General features: G+C 47.8%; 1 protein-coding gene across 7 annotated transcripts in view, besides 1 other annotated feature; it reads left to right on the forward strand.

Moving 5' to 3' along the window:
* Positions 1-24,421, forward strand: part of PNPLA1 (patatin like domain 1, omega-hydroxyceramide transacylase) — a 70,788-nt gene that overhangs the window by 32,032 nt on the left and 14,335 nt on the right. For 5 of the 7 annotated variants that reach the window (XM_011514520.3, NM_173676.2, NM_001374623.1 and 2 more), the window contains exons 2-5: positions 16,121-16,353; positions 17,862-17,927; positions 18,991-19,200; positions 20,165-20,225. In XM_011514520.3, the coding sequence (XP_011512822.1) occupies positions 16,201-16,353; positions 17,862-17,927; positions 18,991-19,200; positions 20,165-20,225 (490 nt within the window). In that variant the 5' untranslated portion in view covers positions 16,121-16,200. Of the gene's footprint in view, positions 1-16,120; positions 16,354-16,454; positions 16,637-17,861; positions 17,928-18,963; positions 19,201-20,164; positions 20,226-24,421 lie in introns of those variants that run through there. The other 2 variants (NM_001145716.2, XM_017010779.2) reach the window with 2 other exon arrangements.
* Positions 10,742-10,927: a silencer, noted in NCBI's record as "fragment chr6:36253718-36253903 (GRCh37/hg19 assembly coordinates)". NCBI's record gives its function as "represses an EF-1alpha promoter that drives an FKBP-Casp9 reporter gene in an ReSE screen in K562 erythroleukemia cells {active_cell/tissue: K562}" and the evidence as "EXISTENCE:reporter gene assay evidence [ECO:0000049][PMID:32094911]".

The raw sequence follows: 24,421 nt of genomic DNA on the forward strand, positions 1-24,421 counted from the left end.
TCCTGAGTAGCTGGGACCACAGGTGCATGCCACCACGCCCGGCTAATTTTAAAAATTTTTTTGTAGAGTCAGGGTCTCACTATGTTCCCCAGGCTGGTCTTGAACTCCTGGGTTCAAGCAATCCTCCTTCCTCAGCCTCCCAAAATGCAAGAGTTACAGGCCTAAACCAGTGCGCCTGGCCATCCTCTTATAATTTGTGTTTTAAAATATCTTTATTACAATGATTTCTTCTACATTGTCTTTCAAAAGTTTTAAAATTTTCATATTTAGATTAATTCCTCAGGAATTTATTTTGTTGATGGTTGAGGTAGAGATCTAATTTTTAAATTGTTTTGCCATGTGATAGCCAATTAGAGGCTATCTCCACACTTACTTGAAATGCTGCTTCTGGAATATTCAAGTGTCTCTTCTATTCTGTTGGCTAATTTGTCTATTTCTGTTTTAATCATTATAGTCTTATAATAAAGGGTTCATCACATATGACAAGCAATCTCCTCCTCTTCTTCCTCCTTTTTTCTTCTTCAAATATTGCCTCCATTATGTTTGGCCCTTTCTTTGCCCCATGTGAAAAGCTCTGCTGGGCTTTCGACTGAAATTGCATCTTTCCATTTGTAAATATAGTTGATCTTTCTATTCTGGTCTTTTTGTGTCCTTCAGTAAAGATTTTGTGTGTTTTATTAGATTTACTTTTCCCTTGTAGTTTTATTTTTTATTGCTACGGGAAATGGGACCTTTTTTACCTATGGCATTTTCTTTCTTTCTTTCTTTCTTTCTTTTGAGACAGAGTCTCGCTCTGTTGCCCAGGCTGACATGCAGTGGTGTGATCTCGGCTTACTGCAACCTCCGCCTCCTGGGTTCAAGAGATTCTCCTGCCTCAGCCTCCCGAGTAGCTGGGCTTACAGGCACCCACCACCACGCCCAGCTAATTTTTGTATTTTTAGTAGAGACAGGGTTTCACCACGTTGGTCAGGCTGGTCTCGAACTCCTCACCTTAAGCAATCCACCCACCTCGGCCTCCCAAAGTGCTGGGATTACAGGCGTGAGCCACCGCACCCAGCTAGCATTTTCTGAGGCTCTTCTCAAGGCCACTTCCCCACTTTTGTAGCCAGTTTGGGGCTTTTCTATCCTGAGATCCTGTGTTTTTTTCCTGTGAAAGCTGAGGTGGCAGAGGTGCAACTTCTGGCGTGTATGCCCAGTTCTGTGACTAGGCCAGTTCAAGGCACATGAAAATGTTGTAAAAGCACTTAACATAGTGCCTGGTTTTTACTAGAGATGTGGTAACCTTCATTAATCCATTCATTCACCTAGGAGGGGTGGTCTCCGTGATTGCCACTGGGGGATCCAGAATTTCCAATCTTGTCAGAAGTGGGGTTGGAAACGTGCCTCAAAGCTGCATTTGCATAATTTTGAAAAACAAAATGTTTCTTATGGAAGAATAGTGATTTGGCAGACTTAAAACCCTACTCCCACTTAAGCTACTTCTTGGCACCTTTCTCCCCATAAAAAACTGGCAAGCCAATCTGTCCGTCCCTTCGTTCCTTTCTTCGTTCGTTCGTTCCTTCCTTCCTTCCTTCCTTCCTTCCTTCCTTGCTTCCTTCCGTGTTAGTTGAGCACATACTAGGCCCTGCAGAGGATGCGAAGATACAACACAAAATGAAACTCTGATCTTGCTGCAAGGAGCTTACAGTCCACTCAAACTTAAAGGCACCTACCAAACAGTTATAATACAAGAAAGTTCCTATTGAATGTTAGAGAATTATAAGGCATAGGAGTGCAGAGGGATGGAGAAAACACTTCCAAACATGGAAGGCCTCATAGAAGCGGCATTTGAGCTTGTCCATGCTTGAAATGTGAGAAGTTGGACAGGTAGAGACAGGTTGGGCAGGAACCAAGGCTTCCAGCAAGGACATAGCATGACAACACGACAAAGCCACACAGTGGGGAAACATGATGCCTCCAGAGCATGGTAAACAGTGCAAGTCAACTGACGTCAGGAGTTGAAAGGCGTTGCCTTTCCTGTGGTCCAAGAGCCCCCTGCCATATCTGCACTCCAGCTAGTCGGAAAGGGAAAAGGGAAGGGCACAGTCCTTTAGAGCAGGACTTGGAGGTAACACATGTCCTGTCAGCTACATCCCATGGATTGGAATTTAGTCACATGGTCACACCTGACTGCAAGAGAACCCAGGAAATGTAGACTTTATTTTTGGGAGGCCATGTGGCCAGCTAAAAATTGGAGGTTCGATTACAAAGGAAGAAGGGGAGAATGGGTATTGGGGACAACCAGTAGTCTCTGTTGCAACAACCATAATCAATGGCATGAGGATCCTGGAGAAACTCTGCCCCTGCCTGAGACCAAAACCATGACTTCCTAATCACAAAGTTGGCCAGATGCAGTGGCTCGTGCCTGTGAGCCCAGAATTATGGGACGCTGAGGCGGGAGAATTGCTTAAGGCCAAGAGTTTGAGGCCAGACTGGGCAACAAAGTGAGACCCTGTTTCTACAAAAAATAAAATAATTAGCCAGGTGTGGTGACCTGTCCCTATAGTCCCAGCTACTCAGGAGGCTGGGGTGGGAGGATCACTTGAGCCCAGGAGTTTGAGGCTGCAGTGAACTATGATTCTGCCATTGCACTCCAGCCTGGGTGACAGACAGAGACCATGTCTCTAAAAACAAACAAACAATCACAAAGCCAAGTCCAGTTTGTTGTCTGGGAAAGGGCTCAGCTCTGGCCCACCAGCAGCTGCCCCTGTGGCAGTGGGAGCATGAGTGCCTCAGTCTTGCAGCAGGGGGCCTGGGCAATGCACCATGGCACCTACTGTGTCTCCTGCCTAGAATGACCCTCTGCCCCCCTTTCAGAGAGAAAACCTCCTCTCCAGACACCATCCCATTTTACCCCACTCCATCTCTCTTTTCCATGATGTCTAGTTTGCCCATAAAATCTGCCCACATATTCTAGCATTTGATGTTGTACGGTCTTAACTGTTTCAGATACAGTGTCTCATTTCATCAACTAGATTGGTTGAGCAATCTGAGATCTTGTGGGTCCTATGGCTCCCACAAACTGCTCATAAAACAAGAACTCCTTGATAAACTCCTGGTGTTTGCTGGCTATTGGCCAGTGTGATACTGAATGTGTCTTTGCTATCTGTATTTTATAGTTTCCCTGGCTCTTGGATAATTTTCTGTAGTTATGGATATGAGATATAACGCTAGAATGTTACAGTGTCAAGGTCAGTAAGTCCAGCTCCCTCATTTTGCAGATAATTGTATTTAGACCCTGGGAGAGAAAGTGACTAGTTGGAGGCAGACCTCACTTAAGCCAATAGTTTCCAAACTGTGTTCCAGGGATCCTTAGGGTTCTGCAGATGGGGAGGAAAAGCAGGGGACAGACACGTCTGAAGCCCCGGCTGCACTAGTACAGCCCCGCTGTTGTCCATCTTATACATGGGGGATCTTGCTAAAATTATATGTAAAGAAAATCTTTCAGTAATTTCTTTTAAAGTTTGAGAATCACTGTTTGAGCCCAGTTCCCTCAAGATGCAGACAAGGAGTTTGAGGATCAGATTTTGGCTGAATTACGGTGATGAAATAGAACATTCATTCGCTCATTCATTCTAGGTCCTGGGGATCTGGCAGTGAGCAAAGCAGTGGATGTCCACACTCATGAAGCTGATATTCTCTTGGTGAAATTAAACCATAGAAAATTAAGCATATAAAAAAGGTCAGCATGCGTGCTCAAAGGAGAAGATAAAGCAGGGGAAGGATGGGAGAATGACACAAGGGGCACAGTGTTGGGTGGGCTGGCCAGAAGGCCCCTCTGAGGTGGATGAAGCTAGGGAGAGAGCCACGTGCACTGAGGGAAGAGAGTTCCAGGCTGACAGGTCTGCAGGTGTAGTTGCCCCCCGGTGAAAACATGCTTGTGTTCTCAGAAAGGGAGATGGCTTGTCCCTCTGGACGGGAAACAGGCTTCAAAGGGATCTTGCAAAACACATGAGAGGTCCAGAGGAGCCATGTGTTTTGCCCCCTGCCCCGCAAATGTGTGCACAACAGGACCCAGCACAACTTCTCCCATGGAGACAGAGCACTGGAGAAGTGTTTTGGTTGGCCTCCCACACTAGGGCCAGTGCTACCTTTGGCAGCTCCTGCCCACCCAGTAACTGAAATTCTCCTGGGGCCCTGGAGCTGAGGCTGGCTGGTTATTGTCATTGATAGGTGGCTCAAGGTGTATTCTGGTCCACTGGGGCTGGCACTGGGGAGTCAAGCCTTCCTCTTTGAGAACCTCGCTTTAGTAACTCCTTTCCTTTGTCACTCATGCACCTATCTTTGTTACTCAGTTGAGGAATGAGACATAGCCAGGATTAGTGGAGAATAGAGTTCCCAGGAAGGAGGAGGGCTAGGGCTGAACTTCCAACTCTGCCCCCAAGTTCTGTAGGTTCTTGGCTGGCCAGGGACCCATCTCGCCCTTGGTTTTGCCATCTGTAACTTGGGTGATTGGAAACACATCCCTTGGACATTATGGTGAAAGACAAAAGAAGTCATGGATGCATTCCTGGCCCAGTGCTTGGCAAATATTAGTCACAAAATAAGTCTTTGAAGAATGAATGTTGAATGAATGGATGAATACGTGAAAAGAAAATTACCTTGAAATAGAAAAGCATAGATAAAGCAGCACTTTCCAAAGTCAAGAATGTCCCAGAGAACAAATTAAACTTTATTAAAACAAACAGGCTGGGCGTGGTGGCTCACGCCTGTAATCCCAGCACTTTGGGAGGCCGAGGCAGGCAGATCACGAGGTTAGGAGATCAAGACCATCCTGGCCAACACGGTGAAACCCTGTCTCTACTAAAAATACAAAAATTAGCTGGGCGTGGTGGTGCGTGCCTGTAGTCGTAGCTACTCGGGAGGCTGAAGCAGGAGAATTGTGTGAACCCGGGAGGCGGCGGTTGCAGTAAACCAATATTGCACCACTGCACTCCAGCCTGGCAACACAGCAAGACTCCGTCTCAAAAAACAAAAACAAAAACATAGATGACTGGAATCCAGCCTGGCCTGAGCAATGTTTTTCATGGTAATTGTGAGCTCATCTGCACAAGGACTTGGTTTTTTTGCAGGAATTCTGTGTGGCCCCGGCAGTGGAAGGACCCATCTCAGCTAGTTTGCATTGGCTCCGGCCAAACACCCTAGGATTATTGCTGACTTGGGACCAATTTTCATGTTAATTACTCTGTAGGTTGTATCAATTCAAGCTCTAAACCATATGCAATACAGATTTGGGTCTTTCATTTTTTATGGGAGGCTGTGTTTTTTCACCCAGATCCCTGGGCAGACACAAGCCACTGGCACCTTGTAATAGCCCAGCAGCCTTTGGAGGGTCCTAGCTTTAAGCAGAGGTCTCATTTCACCCAGCCCAAGAACGTAGTCCCTGTCCCTGCCAGTTTCTTGTCTGATAACAGTCCCCACAGTTACCACATCATCAGCTTTCCTTCTCATGCCACTGGCTTTCAGTTCCCTCTTCATTTCTTCCTTTCTTGTGAGTTCAACCATGTCTTGTAACTGTTTTATATTGTATTTAATATTGGGCTTTTCGTTGTTATTGTTGTTGTTGTTTGAGGCAGGGTCTTTCTCTGTCACCTAGGCTGGAGTGCAGAGGCGCCATCATAGCTCACTGTAACCTTGAATTCCTGGGCTCAAGTGATCCTCCTGCTTCAGCCTCCTGAGTAGTTGGGACTATAAGCACGTGCCACCATGTCTGGCTAATTTTTAAAATTTTTTTTGTAAAGACGGGGTCTCACTATGTTACCCACATTAGTCTCGAACTCCTGGCCTCAATCAATCCGCCTGCCTCCGGCTCCCACATTGCTGGGATTGCAGGCATGAGCCATGGCACCTGATCTCTTGTTTCTGAAGCTGGAAAGGTTCCTCTTTAGCTCAGCCCACCATACTACTGGAGCTGGAAGTCTCTCCAGTGTTCCTTAATACATGAATGAGAACCTCCATTTTTTCCTGTTGCAGGTGTGTGGGTGAGTGTGAGTGGGTGTGTACGTGTATATGTTGCCCAGATGTAACTTGGATTTCAGTCCTGGCTGCTGGGTACACTTTCAGAATCAAAATGTCTTCATTAAAAATCACTCCCAAAATTAGTTATCTGAGATGGAAGTGTTTTCTGTAAAAAGGTATTCTGCTCAAATTCCCATCCTAGTGTCTTTTGAATAACAGCTATTTACCAAGCACTTAGAATGTGCCAGGTCCCGTGCTAAGTGCTTCATATGCATCATTTACTCTAATCCCCTCACAACCCTATGAAGCAGACACTATATTTATACTCACTTTACAAATGAGGAAACAGGGATTTAGAGAGATTAGATAATTTTCCCAGGTTTATACAACAGAGCCAAGACTGGGATTTCTCTAAATGTCTACATTCTACATCCTCTCTAATCATGATTTCAGAAATTGCTTTGCAAGCAACATGACAGCTTTCTTGTTACACTCCATGTGTCAAGCAATTATTTATACATTGGTTAAGAAAGTGAGATCTGGCCGGGTGCAGTGGCTCACACCTGTAGTCCCAGCACTTTGGGAGGCCAAGGCAAGTGGATCACCTGAGGTCAGGAGTTTGAGACTAGCCTGGCCAACATGGTGAAACCTTGTCTCTACTAAAAATACAAAAAATTAGCCGGGCATGGTGGTAGGCATCTGTAATCCCAGCTACTCGGGGGGCTGAAGCAGGAGAATCACTTGAACCCAGGAGATGGGGAGGTTGCAGTGAGCCGAGATCGCACCATTGCCCTCCAGCCTGGGCAATAAAAGTGAAACTCTGTGAAAGAGAGAAAGAAAGAAAGAAGGAAAGAAAGAAAGAAAGAAAGAAAGAAAGAAAGAAAGAAAGAAAGAAGGAAGGAAGGAAGGAAGGAAGGAAGGAAGGAAGGAAGGAAGGAAGGAAAGAGAGACAGAGAGAGAGAGAAAGAAAGAAAGAGACAGAGAGAAAGAAAGAAAGAAGGAAGGAAGGAAGGAAGGGAAGGAAGGAAGGAAGGAAGGAAAGAAAGAAAGAAGGAAAGAAAGAAAGAAAGAAAGAAAGATCAAATGGCATGACAAATACAAAAGGACTTTTTATACAATATTATGGAAATGGTGTCATTGTGCGATAGTTGTTGTAGCTCCCACTACCATGTTGGAACCAGTATCTTCCATCTCACTCAAATGAACTTATGCTTTACATGTTTAAACGTCTCTATCCAAATGGATAAAGATTCATTTTCCCCAAACAATCCCTTGGACTTTTTAGTAGAAGAGCATTGAATGGAAGATCTGGTAAAGCTTTGAATGTGTTGGTTACACAGTAGAAACATCTATTTGGAAAGCAACTCATGTAGGTGACATATGTTAATCCATCCACCTGGTATCAGCAGGTGCTAACTGAGCCCCTGTGAGTGCCAGGCACTGTATCCCTAACAACCTTGCTTGATCTGTGTGTATGTGTGTGTTTTTAATTTAATTTAACTTTTTTGAGACAGAGTCTTGCTCTGTCACCCAGGCTGGAGTGCAGTGACAAGATCTCAGCTCACTGCAACCTCCACCTCCTGGGTTAAAGCAATTCTCCTGCCTCAGCCTCCCAAGTAGCTGGATTACAGGTGCATCCCACCACGTCCAGCTAATTTTTGTATTTTTAGTAGAGATGGGGTTTCACCATCTTGGCCAGGCTGGTCTTGAACCCCTGACCTCGTGATCTGCCCACCTTGGCCTCCCAAAGTGCTGGGATTACAGGCATGAGCCACCGCACCTGACCTGATCTGTGTTTTTTTAAAAATTTAATAATAAACTTTTTATTTTGGAATAATGTCAGCTTCACAGAAACTTTGCTAAAATAGTACAGAGCTCTGCGTATCCTTCACCCAGTCTCCCCTAATGTTAACATCTTACATAACCATGGTCCATTTGCCAACACTAAGACATCAATATTGGTACATTCCTATTAACTATACTGCAGACTTATTAGAATCTCACCAATTTTTCTACTAATGTCTCTTTTCTGTCCCAGAATCCAATCCAGGATTCCACACTGCATTTGGAGGATCCATTTTTAAACCAACTCACTTAGACAGTATTAAAATAGCATTGTTTTCTTTGCTTCACTTTGGGCTCAAATTCAAGAAAGACAGTTGAGCTCTTTTTCCAATTCTAGGGGGAAGACAGCCAAACAAATGGTAAATAAACCTCCAGACTTTTTTTGGTTCCCCTGAGTTAGGAGTTCACCCATGAATCCTGTGGGTAACCCAACTCTGTCCTTACGAAATCACCACGTAAGGAAGAATCTCCTCAGCTGGGCATGGTGGTGCACCTGTAGCCCCAGCTACTCAGGAGGCTGAGGCAGGAGAATCACTTAAGCCCGGGAGTTCAAGTCCAGCCTGGGCAATGTAGTGAGACCCTATCTCTAAAAAAATTAAGAAAGAAAAAACAAAAAAAGAAAGAATCTCCTCCTATGCCCTAGCTCAGAGTCTAGTATGCATCCATGTGGGAACACAAGTTAGAAGCAGGATTGACAGAGCACACTGCCTGTGGTTTGCCTCATCAGACCTCAAGTCCAGCTGAGTCTTAAGACTAGGGGGTGACTTAGTTCACAGCTGTTGCATCATCCCAGTGTCCCCTTGGTAGTGCATGGAGAATCTGTACGGCAGGATAGGCCACAGCCTAGATGAGAGGCAGAATTAATTTCCACCTTGGAGCAGGGCCCCAAAAGGACTTCTGGGTCCACCAAAGAAAACAGAGAGAAAAGAGCAGGGGCAATGGCCCTGAATACATGATCATTTCCAGGGAACTTTCTAGATGCATTCCCTCTCTGCCTGTTTCACCTCAGGGTGATCAGTAAGAACCTGCAGTGGGATGTTGGAGGTTGTGCCTGGATTCTGGGGGGAAAAGCTCATAGTAGGGTGAGGGCTGAGGCCCCAGGCCCTCTACCTGAGGGCAAGCAAAGAGTCCTGTGGACACCTTGCTAGGAGCACAGGTGATGAATCAGCAGAAGACACTTCTGTTTCCATGACAATCGGATATAAGCCAGTCTGAACTTTTAAATCCAATTATTTAGTAAACTCTTAGGGTTAGAAGAAGGTCTATGTGGAGGATTGTTATTATCCATTAAAGATGTTGTTTTGTTTGGTTTGGTTTGAAGTGCTGAATAGGTCAGAGTTGTTTTGCTGTTGGTGAAACCCTGTAATGCATTTAGGGCAGAGCAGCAAAATGTGAGTTTTCACATACATTCTAGTTCTATTTCTGCAAACAAAAACTGTGTGACCTAGGTCCTAGGGTATGTCCTTCCTTTATCCATCCATCCATCCAACCAACCATCCAACCATCCATCCACTCATCCATCCATCCATCCATCCATCCATCCATCCATCCATCCATCCATCCGGCTGACATTTACTGAGGCTCATCTTTTTCCTGGGCAAGATTTCTTACCTGTAAAATGTGAGAATTCATTGGGACTTGTATTTCTGACCTAGGATCCCAGAATCTTAGGAGTCTCAGGGCAGTGTTTTGGGGGCTACCTTCCTAAGGTGGGTGGGGCGATGGGACAGTCTCAGAACAGCCTCAACCCAGAACAGCCACATTTTTAGCTGTTTTATATATTGGGTTTCTACTTAAGATTTCTTTCGAACAAAGCCTCCCTTACTGAAAACTCACTGCCCCAGAGGGTCTCTGTAAACCTTCTAGTAGTGACACTGTAGCTTCAAGCCAAATTGTTTTTCAATCAATACCCCTGCAGTGTAGGGCATAGAAATAAAATGGTAAATAAACCAGGGTCACTGCTCCTCGGAGGCTGGCTGTCACTGTGAGGATAAACTGAGATAATAGGTGGGAAAGCCTGTTTAGGGAAACGATTGTTGTTAAGATGATAACAATTATTATTACGTTGGGGTAGGGTATTCAAGATATACCCACAGGAAAATGCAGATTACAATTCAGTCTGCAATTAGGGACCAGATAGCAGCCAACTCTCAGGTGATCCATGCAGGGATTCTGAGCATTCGTCGGCGCCTCCCCAGGGGCTGCTGCGCCCCCTGCTTCCCGCGCGCCCACCACGCACGCTGCTCTGGGAGCAGGGCCGGCGGCGCCGCCGCCTCGCAGCGATTGGTTGAACCGGAGGTTGTTGCTAGGCTACCAGTGCGCCCTGAGCCTGGGGCCCCGCAGTCCCATCCTCTGTGGCAGATCCATCCCTCACTGCAGACCTAATTCCGGTACCCTGTGAACGGCATCCTCAGCAGCTTAAATTATCAGCCCCAACTGCCCGCCTTTCTATGATTTTTCATTTCGCAAGAGGCCATGTGGAGTTGGGGAAGAGAAGCCTTCTGTTTTTATCCTCTGGGTCATCTTGAATAGCGACTTCTCTCTCTAGACCTCAGTATCCCGCTTCAGTTTCTGGAGTTCATTCATTCATCCATTATTCATGCCTGCGTGCATGTTTCTTAAGTGCCCACCGTATTCCAGGCACTATATTGAGTGCTAGGGACAAAAGAATGAACAAGACAGAGACCGTCCTTGCCCTCGTGAAGAGGGGAACATTATCCACCTAAACAAATAAAATAAACGCATGTACAATTATCCCTTTTCTTCCCCCTTTGATGATTTTTCTAGCCCCTCTTTCCCCCTACTATATCTGTAGGGTCCCCCAACTTGACAGGAGAGGGAGTGTCTCCCAGTCAGGCCTACACTACTCTGAAACTGGGGTGCACCCTCTTACTCCAAGCTCGTATTTTGCTCTTTTGATTCCACACATGAGCCTGACCACACCTTGATAAGGATGTGGGGGCAGGGATCACTGTCTCCTGTTCAGATGAGCAGTCTGAGAGTCTGAATCATCAAAATGCCTTGTCACATAAGAAATTATTGCCATACCCAATATTTGGTCATTTACTATGTGCTGGCACTTTAAAAGCTGTCTGCCTCATCATAATCCAGTAAGGTAGGTATTCTTATACTAATTTTACAGGCAACAAAGTTGAGGATGAAAGGTGTTATTTAAGTGGCCAGTGATGATCTAGATAGCATGTGGTGAAGCTGGGATTTGAACCAAATCTGCCTGGCTCCAAAGCCTAAGCTCTTTCCAAGAAATGGATGTGGTCATGGAAAGACTCTCTGATCAGCTGGGCACAGTGGCTCATGCCTGTAATCCCCACACTTTGGGAGGCTGAGATGGGAGGATTGCTTGAGCCCAGGAGTTTGAGACCAGCCTTAGCAACAGAGTGAGACCCTGTTTCTACAAAATAAAAAGAATTATCTGGTATGGTGGCACATGCTGTAGTTCCAGCTACTCAGGAGGCTGAGGTGGGAGGATCCTTTGAGGAGCCTGGGCAACAGAGGGAGACCCTGTCTCTAAAAAAAAAAAGTTTAAATTAAATTTAAAAAAGAAAGACTCTCTGAGTGGCTGAAACTTGGAAACATAGCTTCCAAGTGCCGTTCAAAAATCTCCCAGTCTCAACATCTTTTTACATTTTATTTTTTAGAGGCAGGGTCTCACTCTGTCATCCAGGCTGGAGTGCAGTGGTGCAATCATGGCTCACTGTGGCCTCGTCCTTCCGGACTCAAGTGATCCTCCCACCTCAACCTCCTGAGTAGCTGGGACTACAGTGGCATGCCACCATGCCTGGCTAATTTAAATTTTTTTTTTTTTTGTAGAGACAGGGGTCTTGCTATGTTGCCAGAGCTGATCTCAAACTCCCGGGCTCAAGCGATCCTCCCATCTCAGCCTCCCAATGTGCTGGGATTACAGGCATGAACCACCACACCCAGCATTGACCCAGCATCTTATTTACTTATTTTTCTTGGCACATTAGACTCATAAAACCTGGTGAGCTGACCACAGTAATCAATATTGTTAACTCTCGCTGTCTATCCATCTATCTGGGATGATCTCGCCTTCAAGCTTTTATTGGGTAATTAAGTCAAGTAGCTCTTCCTTGGGGGCATCTCCATTGCTCTCAGGTTTTTATATTCCGTTGTTCACACACTGAGAGCCTTGGTGGGCATAGAATATGGCCCATCTCTCCCCTGGAGGAATTTCCAGCCCTCAGGGGAGGTTTCTGAGGAGCTTCCTATGGGCAAAGCTCAGTGACAGGCTATTGTGAGAGGAGGAGGAGAACCAGATTTACCCTCAGAGAATCCCCTCCTCTGAGCAGAAGTGGATGTGCCTAGGGTGGGCTGAGGGGTGGGAGCAGTCAACCTTGAGTACCCTGATCAGGACACATTGGGTCCGCGGTGCTGCTTCTAATAACCTTGCTGTGGTTAGTGTGGGACTCTGTGTCTCAGAGCCTGGCAGCCTGCAGCTCGGAAGGAGGCCTTTAAATGGGAGAAGGTGCTGGAAAATATGGTAATACATAAATAAGCTAAATTTATCCCCTTTCTCAGCACCCAGCAATTGCTGTGCTTAACACTTAACTTTCTACCAGCATAGATTTGTTTAACCAGATTAGTTGCTGGGAGAGAGAGAAAGGAGAGAGATAGACAGAGACAGAGACAAAGAGACACAGAGAAAGACAGTCAGAGACTTTGAAGACAGACAGAAACACACACACACACACACACACACACACACACACACACACCCCTGGAGAGAAGTAAGAAGATGCAGAGATAACAGTATCCTTTGGTGTGTGGCTTCAGCCAGCAGCAGGAGAGCTAGACTGAGAGAATCAGACAACTTCCTGCCCTCTTCCTCCCAGGCTACATGACTGGCTAGAGCATTGCTAATTTCCAGATAGCACCATTTTCAGATGTGAGTACTTTGGAATGTCGACACTGTTTGCATTATTTTGTCCACTGTTTTGTTCCTGTCACCCAACCCTACCCCTGAATAGGTGAGAGTTGACTGTAGATGAATAATATACTAAAGCCACCATTAAAGTAAGCATTATAAGACTTTAAATATGCGTGCCTTTGACCTAGCATCCTCACTTCTAGGAATTTATCCTAAGGAAAATAAGTATATGGATAAAGAAGCTAGCATGAGATTGTTCATTGCATCGTTATTTAGAAAAGCAATGAAACAAACTAAATAGCCAACCACTCTTGGTTTCCTGATCAATAAATAATGGTATAACCTTACAACAGCTTTCCATACCGCTTTTAAAATTAGATTATAGGCTGGGTGCAGTGGTTCATGCCTGTAATCCCAGCACTTTGGGAGACCAAAGTGGGAGGATTGCTTGAGACCAGGGGTTCAAGACCAACCTGGGCAACATAAGGAGACCCTATTTTTTTTTTTTTTTTTTTTGAGACGGAGTCTCGCTCTGTCGCCCAGGCCGGACTGCGGACTGCAGTGGCGCAATCTCGGCTCACTGCAAGCTCCGCTTCCCGGGTTCACGCCATTCTCCTGCCTCAGCCTCCTGAGTAGCTGGGACTACAGGCGCCCGCCACCGCGCCCGGCTAATTTTTTTTTTTTGTATTTTTAGTAGAGACGGGGTTTCACCTTGTTAGCCAGGATGGTCTCGATCTCCTGACCTCATGATCCACCCGCCTCGGCCTCCCAAAGTGCTGGGATTACAGGCGTGAGCCACCATGCCCGGCTGGAGACCCTATTTTTAAAAAAATAAAAAAATCAGCTGGGTGCGGTGGCACATGCCTGTAATCCCAGCTACTCAAGAGGCTGAGGTGAGAGGATTGCCTGAGCCAGGCATTCCAGGGTGCAGTGAGCTATCATGGTGTCCAGCTTGGGTGACAGAACAAAACTCTATTTGAAAAAACAAATTAGGTTATAAATGGATATTTGTTGACCTGGAAAAACATTCACAACATATTAGGTGAAAGAAGCAAGTTACAAATAGTGTGTATTATATGACCCCTTATAAGTATGAATAAAAATAAAATATTTAGCTTAAGAAGACAGACCAAATGTTAGTCTCTAGGAGGAGGGATTCCAAGACATTTTAATTTTTTTCTTTCTGCTTATCTGCATTTTTAAAAGTTTTTCCACAATAAGCATGTCTGATTTTTGTAATAAGAACAAATTTCCTTGCTTCCCTCCCAGGGGTGGCTTCTGCTGGGAGATCAGGCGTTCCTGGCTCTCAGGCCTCATGGGAAAAGCCATTGACCCTTGCCAGGTGTTAAGCTGCTCACTAAGAATTCCCTGCCCTGGCTTGACTCCCCATCCCAGCTGGTGTTATGGGCGAGACCTCAGTGATCCAACACCTTGGTATCCAAATGAGCAGTTGCCGCATCACCTGTGAGTGGGTTAGCTGCTGCCCTCCCTTGAAGGTAAACACTGTTTACCTCTGTTGGCACATGGTAAGGCTAACCTCACTAAAACCGTAGGGCCTTTCTGCCTCCCAGGAGCACCCTCCCCTGTAGGAGGGTGACAATTACGATGCTGCATTGCTCAGGGAGGTCCCTGCTACACATATGCAGGTGTGATTCTGAAGGTTCGAAAAAAAAAAAGGCTGTCACCATGGCAACCCAGGCTTGCTCAGCCTCTTCATTCCTGAGATCAGTCCAAGCCCCAGGGAAAGAAGGTGGGGTATGGAGTCAGAAAAATCACTGCCTGGCTGCCTGACCTCAGGCAAGACACTTAGCTTTTCTCTGTGTCAGTTTCTGCGTCTGTAAAATGGTGCTGAAGCTTTTCTTACTCACCTCCAGGACTGGGGTGGAATAATCGGTAAACCATAAAACACAGGAGGAGTAGGGCATCCTTAGTTTTGGCTTGTCCCCAGATTGCCATGTGACTTTGGGTAAATCACTTAACCTCTCTGTGTCTCAGGTGCTCTATTTATAAATAGGCGAGTAAGGCACACTGATTACTTCCCGGATATATTGCAAGGTGCCTGTGAGAATCCCAGAATCTCAAAGTTGGAAGGAATCTTAGCCCTTAGCACTCATGCAGGAATCTTTTTGATAAACTCTCTGACAGAGATACTTGCCTAGCCTCTGCCTGGTTACCTCCTGTGGCAAAAAACTCATGACCGCACAGCTTCCCATGTAGCCATTGCTACATGACACTAACCATAAGAAAGTTCTACCATATAGCGTATCATAGCATATTTTACAAATAAATGTTTGTTTTAAAAAAGTTAGCAATCCTTTCCAGAGCTATTTTCACTCCTGATTTTCCCAAAGGCTTGCACAGGGTAGAGATGAGCAGGGGTCAGCAAAAAGCAGGTGTGGGCTCGGCTGCAGAAGAAGCTTTTGGCTTAGTGTAATAGCAGGAGCCTGGGCTCTGGGGTCACACATCCTAGGTTGAAATGCTACTTTACCCACTTACAAACTGGCTGACGCTGACCCTGGGAAAGTTATATTACCTATCTGAGCCTCAGTTTCCTGATCAGTAAAAGGAAGATAGAAATACCTACCTCCCAGTATTGTTGTGGGAATTAAGCAAGTTAGCACTTCTTATTAAGCTTACAACCCAGACTTCCCTGGTGGGGTTCTGGGGACTTGGGGTGGGGAAGATTACACCCTCCTCTGCCACCCCCGAATAGCGCATCTGCCCACTGAGCAAATGGCACAGGCGAGCCTTACATAGTCCATATCTCAGGGTCATCTCCCTCTCAGACCTGGACCAGGGCCATAAAGGAAAGATGATGCAATGGTTTCAAGACAAAGTTCACCTCCTCCTCATGATTCACCGGCCCAAGGCCAGCACCCCTTCCCTGCCCACAGACTCAGTGGGCACCAAGCAAGTATCCCAGGGCGTCACTTAGGAACAACTTCCAACTGCACCAGTGTTTTAATAGGAATCTCATACAGGACCCCAAAAATGTCATCTGGCAGTGGACTTCCAGGCAGAGTGACAAGAAGTTAGGGAAAGCTATTGGGGGTTGGGCTAAAGTGTTCCTTTAGCTGTTGATATGAAGGTGTCTGTCACGTAATGACTCCTGGACAAAGGTCAGGATGCCTGGGTCCAGCTCCATCATTGCCTAGCTCTGGGCTCTCCGGAGCCAGCGACTTCCTTCCTCAATATCTTGCTTCCGTCATGTGCAAGACAGCAGGCCGATTCCTGGGGTTTTCCCAGCTTCCGAATTCTAGGTTTCCCCATTTGTTGGATTCAGAGATGAGTTGGAGAAACCACCCTAGACCTCCCTTGGCCCCTGGCCACTGGGTGGCACCGACCACCCCCTCTTCTCTGCTTCCTTTGCAGATGAGTATCTCAGAGTCCTCAACGTGGGTGTGGCCGAGGTGAAGAAATCCTTCCTGGGGCCCTTGTCCCCGTCCTGTAAGATGGTGCAGATGATGAGGCAGTTTCTGTACCGGGTCCTGCCCGAGGACTCCTACAAGGTCACCACGGGGAAGCTCCATGTGAGCCTCACCCGCTTAACGGACGGGGAGAATGTGGTGGTTTCAGAGTTCACGTCCAAGGAGGAGCTCATTGAGGCAAGGGGGCTGGGCTGGGAGGGAGGGACACGGAGGGGGCGGGGGAGGGCGGCTCCTGCTCTTTCTCCACAGCTCAACCCGATGCCTTATCCACCTGCCTCACTTCCCTAGTCCTTCCCTTCCTTCATGCCCCCAGAGTCTCGCTGTGCAAGGTGCAGTGCTAGATGAGATGGACACAGAAGCCCAGGACGAACCAGGCTTGACCGCCACCCTCAATGCTTCGGCCTTCACATCCATCCTGCCCGGCCCCCTGCGCTAAGCCTGGAGCTTCCCAGAGGCCCAGGTGTGACTTGCAGAGGGCCTGGGTCTCCTTCAGGGCCTTCCAGGCTGGGCTGCCATGCATCCCCCCAGAATTACTCCCACTTTGTGGGAACGGTCAGGGGAGAGGGGCCCCCATGTCCCCTTTCTGCCCCCTCTCTTCCAGTGGCCCTTGATAAGGGATTGAATGGTTACCAAATCAGTTAACACTTAGAAAAGTGCACGCTAATCCTGAGTGCGCTGCCCTAAGCTCATTAATATTAATTTTAGTTATGAATAATGATTGCTGGAAAGGGCCGCAGGTAGGTCCCAGTGTCTTTCGGGACAAAGGGGTTAAGCTGTGTGGCCTCCTTCCCACATCTCCACTCTCCTTCCTTCCCCCACATACAGGGGCTTCGCCACTCCATCCTCATCCCATACTGGCCTGGCAGTAATCCTGGGGATGAGGGATGAATAGGCAGTGGGCACAGACACCACCTCCGTCCCTCAGGCCCCCTGGGTTTATCAGCAGCCAGCTCTTCCAGATCTGCCTCCTCACGCCCACCCCCGTTCTGACTTCACTGCCCACTGCTGCAGTTTTCTCTTCCCGGCCCTCTCCCCCACCTTCCACTCCTACCATGCCAACCCTAGCAAACCACACACAAGCCAGGCCTCTGGGTCTTTGCACCTGCCGCTCCCTCTGCCTGGGATCCCCTCCCTCCTTCCCACACTGCTTTGCCTGCTGCTGAAACCCAGTCCCTCCTGCCAGGGCACTTCCCTTCATCCCCTCCCACCCTGCCTGCACCCCTCTTGTGGAGCCACGGTGCCCATGCTCACCTCCACCATGCCCCTGTCACCCCACTGCACCGTCACCCACTTGCTCACTCCCTCTCATAGGGCACTCCCAAAGGTGGGCCTCTCAGCCTCCTTTGCTTCCAGGGCCTGGCCCAGGGCTGACACACATTAATGGTTGTTGAATCCCACTGGATTCATGAAAGTTCAGCATCAGAAGGAACCCCGAAGCTATGGAGGACCCCCTCCTGCTTTAAAGCTGGGACATCAGGGCCAGATGGACCAAGCAGGTTACCAAGGACCCAATTAGTGAAGGCCAGGCCAGGAACTGAACTCGGAGCTTTGCTTCCCAGTGTGGCACCTTCACCTAGAATTTAAGGAGGTCTGGGCTGGTGGTGGGTGGCCCAGGGGCTGACAGGTGAGCTGTCCCCACCCCACCCCCGGGCCTCCAGCATCTCAGCCCTGTTCTCTCCGCACAGGCCCTATACTGCAGCTGCTTCGTCCCGGTGTACTGTGGCCTCATCCCCCCGACTTACCGCGGTGTGGTGAGTGCTTCGGCATGGTGAGGGGTGAGATGGGATCCAAGGGACCTCGGGTCCCTGTGACTCACACCTGGGGGAGCAGGGGGGTGGTCTCAGAATGCAGCGGGAGGACCTAGAGTTGGAGAGTTTCTCATGTTGTTACTCAGAATTCCCAATGTAGGTGGCTTTCTGGGCCTTTAAGATGAACTTCTCCAGCTGGGGTGGGTTCCTCTCTGGACCCACCTACCCACTGCCAAGCCGGGCAAATCAAGGCTCCATAGGCTTGGCAGGTTTTCCCAGACTTGACAGAGCAGAGGAGATGAAGCACTGGGACCTGGAAACTCAAATGATGAGGATGTTTTCTGAGGCCTGTAGGCCAGGGCCTTACAGACTTTAATGTGCCCTTGAATCACTCGGGGTCTCGTAAAATTATGCAAGTTCTGATCCAGGCGGTCTGAGGCAGTGCCTGAGGGTCTGCGCCCCTAACCAGCCTCAGGTGCTGCCCGTGCTGCTGGTGGGTGGGCCACACTCTGAGTGGTGATGGTCTAGCTCATGCCCCCTCCTCATTTTATATGCAGAGAAAGTCAGGGCCAGAGACTAGGATTCAGGTAGTAGATGGAGCTTGTATTGCATGTCAGCCAGCCCTGAGAGTTAGAGCCTCAGTATTTGTTGTCCTTCGTTCATAGGTGAGAAAACAGAAGCCCCAGAAAGGAAGGGGCTTGTGGGTGAACAGGTGGTGGGGCTGTAGCAGAGGAGCACGTCTCCTGCTTTACCCAGAGTATGGGTCCCCTGCACACAGAGCCCTGGGAGCCCCAGTCTCAGCGCCACTAAGATAGTGGAGGGAGGATCAGTGCAGGACAGAGCACCGGGCTGGGAGTCCAGAGGCCAATGCAGACTCACTAAGTGACCAGGGGCACACCACGCACCCACCAGGACCTCCGTCTCCAGGCTTATCCTGAGGGGTCTTCTGGATCTTCCTTGATGGGCCCTTGAAGCTGGTGCCATATCCCATGGGCCATTTCGATGTACCCCGAGTGGGGCTGAGAACTCTGGCCCCAAGTGGGCATTTCTCACTCTGCCCCCACAGAGGTACATCGATGGGGGCTTCACGGGCATGCAGCCCTGTGCCTTCTGGACCGACGCCATCACCATCTCCACCTTCAGTGGGCAGCAGGACATCTGTCCCCGGGACTGCCCGGCCATCTTCCACGACTTCCGCATGTTCAACTGCTCCTTCCAGTTCTCCCTGGAGAACATCGCCAGGATGACCCACGCATTGTTCCCCCCGGACCTGGTGGTGAGAGGCAGGAGGGGTCTGGGGAGTAGCAGAAGGTACCAGGGACTAGGGGTGGGGTTAGAGAGCCACTGGGGCCCACTCAAGTTCCATCTGAGTCTCCTCCCCTCAAATGGTCCTTTAAACTTCCTCCTAGACCTGCATCCTGGCCTTGCTGCTAACTAGCTATGTGACCTTGAACAAGCGCCTCAAGCTCTCCCAGCTTCAACATTCTCCCCGGTAAAGCGAGATGATGCCAGAAGTGCTGATAGAAATATTAACTGAACCCATCCATTCAGACAGTTCATGTCCCAAATCAAAGGTCGGCAAGCTGCAGCCCACGGGCCAAATCTAGCCTATGGCTTGTTTTTGTACAGCCTGTGAGCTAAGAAAGGGTTTTCCATTTTTAGAGAGTTATGGGGGAAAGAAAAAAAGAAGAAAAAGAAAAAGAACATTAGGCAGAGACTGCATGTGGCCAGCAAAGCCCAAAATAAGTATTTACTATCTGGCCCTTTACAGAAAAGGCTTTGTGGGCAGTAGCTCATGTAATCCTCTAGCATCCTCTATGATCAATATTATAACTGTCCCCATTTTATAGATGAAGAAATTGAGGCTGTGAGAGGGGACAGCAACACAGCCAATAAGGGGCAGCCCAGAGACCTGAACTCAGGCTCCAAACTTTGCTCTTCATATGGCCCCAGTGCACCTGGTTCTGCCATGAGCACCCCACACTTTCCTCCCAGGGGAGGCCGAGGCTCCACCATGAATGGTGTAACTCATGAACGGAGCATCACTGGGGCGTGTGATCAGGAATTGCTCCTCGGTTCTTCTTAGCAGACAGTGAGGGATGGGACACTGGATGGGTACGTTTTGAAAAGCCCATCAAATAAAATTCAAGAGCAATGGGAGTAGCTGCCCTGGGTCGGGGGAACTGTGGCTCCCTTCCTCCCCGCAGCCTTGGTAATTCTCCTGGTGCCTCCGCCCACAGATCCTGCACGATTACTACTACCGAGGGTACGAGGATGCAGTTTTGTACTTGAGGCGGCTGAGTAAGTACCGGTGGGGCCCCAGGTAAGGGCAGTGTTGGAGGGTAGGGAAAGTTCAAACAGTAGAAGGGCTGAATGGAGGGGTATTCCCCCCAGATTTGTGACCCGGAGACGCCCTTCACCTGGGAGAGCTGGAAATGGGGGTGGGGACCTAACAGGCTGCATCGCCCAGCCCAGACCGCTGGGTCCAGAAAGTAGGATCTCCATGTAAAGGGGGCTTTGGGGTTAACTAAGGGCACAGTGTCTAGGACAGTTGTGCATGTATGCTTATGAATGTAAAAACTCTATTTAGGAAATCCAGAGTTCAGATCTTCCTGGAGAATTCCATTTTCATGTAATTTCATTCTCTTCCACTTTATTCTCTTTCTAGTAAAATCACATTATTAATGTAGAATTGGATGTCACTAGTTTATATTTGTGTAAGACTTTGAGTGACCTATTGATCAGCAAATCACAGAGAAGAGCCCTTGCCCTATGTAGGTTTGGAATGGTGGTCCCTCCACCTATATATTCTCTGTGCTTTATCAGGGTGGAAGAAACAATTCCAATGACATGTCTTTTATGTGCTAACTCCATGGCAAACATCTTTGTTAAAAGAAATGAACAGGACTGGGTGTGGTGGCTCATGCCTGTAATCTCAGCACTGTAGGAGGGCAAGGCAGGAGAATCACTTGAGCCCAGGAATTTGAGACCAGCCTGGGCGATTGTGAGATTCCCAGCTCTACAAGAAATTAAACAATTAGCTGAGCATGGTGGCACACGCTTATAGCCCCAGCTACTTGAGATCAAGGCTGTAGCGAGCCATGACTGCACCACTGTACTCTACTCTGGGCAACAGAGTGAGACCCTGTCTCTAAAAAAAGAAAGAAATCAACAAAAGCTTTGCCATATTTAGAATCAATTATTTTCAGAAAAAGGGATCACCAGGTCAAAGGGTTTACCTAATGTTACATCAGAAGCATTTTCCTTGTTGCCACATGTCTTTGTGACTGTCTTTTTTGGCAGTTGTATAATATTCCATCATAGCTGTGCAGAAAAATTTGCTTGATCATTCCTTTGAGTTTCCAAATGTTCGTGATTATGAGTAATTCTGTGGTAAACTTTTTGTGTATGTAGCTTTAAAAAATACTCTGTGGGTGAGATTAAGGGGTTGGATGAGATTTTCTTCCTAGGAGGTGCTCACTTATTTTTCCCTTCTTCAAAATTCCTTCCTGCTTCCCAAGCTCCCCTTATCCTGTCTCTACTTTCTCCTGGGTCCTTTCTCCCAACAAGGGGGGTGGAGAGGCTGGACGGACAGGAGAGCAGGATGGAGAAAACCTGGGCCCTGGAGGCAAGTAGCTCTAAGGCCCCCATCCCACCCACAAGCTGTGTGACCTCCGGATAATTGCTTCCCCTCTCTAAGGCTTGGTTTCCTAATCTGTAAAAAAAAGGGGGTTTAGATCCTAGCTCCTGACACCTACTAACTGTGTGATATTGAGCAGGTAATTAATCTCCTGGGGCCTCAGTTTCCTCATCTGTAAAAGGGGCCTTATGGTTTTATTTTGAAGATTAAAGGAGCAAAGCCACAAGCCCTTATCACAATGCTCAAATAAATGGTAGCTCTCATGAGAACGTCAAAGTGCTGAGTCCTAGCCACAGTCAGTCCCGCCTACTGCTGGGTGAAATCTGATGGTGGCACTTCAGGAATCTGTCCCCAAAATTGAGCCAGTATATGGATGGGGGCAGGCTTCTTCAATGGCCCTGGAATCACTCCAAGTAGGAACAGATACAACTCCTAAAGGAGAAATGGTCTCGTGCTGACTACCAGCTATTTTTGCTTCCTCTTCCGATTTGCCAGTGTATGGCACGGGTTTCTCAGCGCAGATTTCACCTCCACCACCTCAGTCCTCTTGGATTTGGTGGGACTGGATTTTTCTCTCTGCATCAGATGTGAACAGGAACTACTGACACATACTGAGAAACTGCAGTTGGTCTCCAGAGCCACACTCTTATCCCCACCTGCCATCTGGGAACAGAAAATGGGAGTCCGCCCAGCCTCCCCTGGGCTGCTTTCTGGGTAGGGGTCACCTCCAGCAGGAAACTACACCCCAAAAGGTGTCACCCTCCATTCCTCAGCTCACATTCTCACAGCCTCTTTCTCCTCCCTCCCAAGGGAGGAGAATTAATTATTCTTGCTGCCAGGCAAGCCACTCTGTCTACACTCGGCCCATCCTTGCAGCGGCCTTCTGCCAAAGGGAATGGCAGCGCAGGCTGGCGTGCTTGAAAATCCGCATTCCCCACACAGATGTGTGAATGTGGGTGCTGAGTGAGGTTGGAGCTCAGAGGATGCCATGTCTAAAATATCCATCCGGCATTCAGGCATGCCTGGCCAAACCTCTCTTCCGCCCTCCTCCCCCACTCCCTTCTTCCCTCTCACAGTTTGGTAAGTGACTCTGTCTCTCTGTACACACACACACACACACACACACCCTGTGAAACCATCACCACAATTAAGTTAGTGAATAATTCGTCATCCCCAAAATTTCCTCATGCCCTTTCGTGATCCCTCCCACCTTCCCTCACCCCCCGCCATTCCCAAGCAACCCCTGATCTGCTTTCTGCCATTATAGATTAATTCACTACAATGTGAACTCTTTTTTAAAAATCTGAATTCTTTCACTCTGCATAATTATTCTGAGATTCATCCATGTTGTTGAATGTATAAATAGTTTGTTCCTTTTTACGTTCCGTGCCACTGTATGAATGTACCACAGCTCATCTACCAAAAGAGTTGAATATACCACTGTATGCATATACCACAGCCCATTTACCCAGTCCCCTGTTGATGGACATTTAGGTTATTTTCAGATTTGGGCTATTATGGATAAAGCTGCTATGAACACTCACGCATGAGTCTTGGTGTGGACATATGCTTTCATTTCTCTTGGGTAAATACCTAGAAATGGAATGACGGGATTGCATGGTACATTCATGTTTAACATACATACACAAATATTTTAATTGTGGTAAAAAAACACGTAACAAATTTTAAGCACACAGTTCAGTAGTGTTAACTATTTCATATTGTTGTGCAGCAGATCTCTAGAACTTTTTCATCTTGCAAAACTGAGCCTTTACACACATTGATCAACAACTCCCCCTTTTCTCCTCCTCCAGCCCCCAGCAACCACCATCCCACTTTCTGTGCTGATGATTTTGACTACACTAGGTACTTCATATAAATGGAATCATGCGGTATTTGTCTTTTTGTGACTGGCTTATTTAACTTAACATAATGGCCTCAAGGTTCATCCATGTTGTAGCTGTAGCATGTGACAGGATTTTCTTCCTTTTTTGAGACGGAGTCTCGCTCTGTTGTCCAGGCTAGAGTGTGGTGGTGTGATCTCAGCTCACTGCAACCTCTGCCACCTGGGTTCAAGCGATTCTCCCGCCTCAGCCTCCTGAGTACCTGAGACTACAGGCACACGCCACCACGTCCAGCTAATTTTTGTATTTTTAGTAGAGACAGGGTTTCACCATGTTGGCCAGGATGGTCTCGATCTCCTCACCTCGTGATCTGCCTGCCTCGGCCTCCCAAAGTGCTGGGATTACTGGGGTGAGCCACCGCGCCTGGCCGATTTTCTTCCTTTTTAGAGCTGAATATATTCCACATGTTCTTTGTCCATCCATCTGACAAAGGACACTGGAGTTGCTTCCATCTTTCGGCTATTGTGGATAATGCTGCAGTGCCCATGGATGTCTCTTCCAGATCCTATTCAATTATTTTGGATATATAACCAGAATATATGTTTGACTTTTTAATAAACTGCCAAATTGTTTTCCAAAGCAGTTGTACCATGTTTCATTCCCACCAGCAGTGGATGAGCGTTCCCATTCCTCCAAAACTTTTGGGGTTTTTTTTGTTTTTTTGTCTGTTTTTTTTTTTTTTTTTGAGATGGAGTCTCGCTCTGTCACCCAGGCTGGAGTGCAGTGGCATGATCTCGGCTCACTGCAAGCTCCACCTCCTGGGTTCACACCATTCTCCTGCCTCAGTCTCCCGAGTAGCTGGGACTACAGGCGCCCGCTACCACGCCCAGCTAATTTTTTGCATTTTTAGTAGAGACGGGGTTTCGCCATGTTGGCCAGGATGGTCTCGATCTCTTGACCTCGTGATCCACCCGCCTCGGCCTCCCAAAGTGCTGGGATTACAGGCGTGAGCC

This window comes from Homo sapiens, chromosome 6, assembly GCF_000001405.40.
Source record: "Homo sapiens chromosome 6, GRCh38.p14 Primary Assembly".
In the NCBI taxonomy this organism is placed as follows: domain Eukaryota; kingdom Metazoa; phylum Chordata; class Mammalia; order Primates; family Hominidae; genus Homo; species Homo sapiens.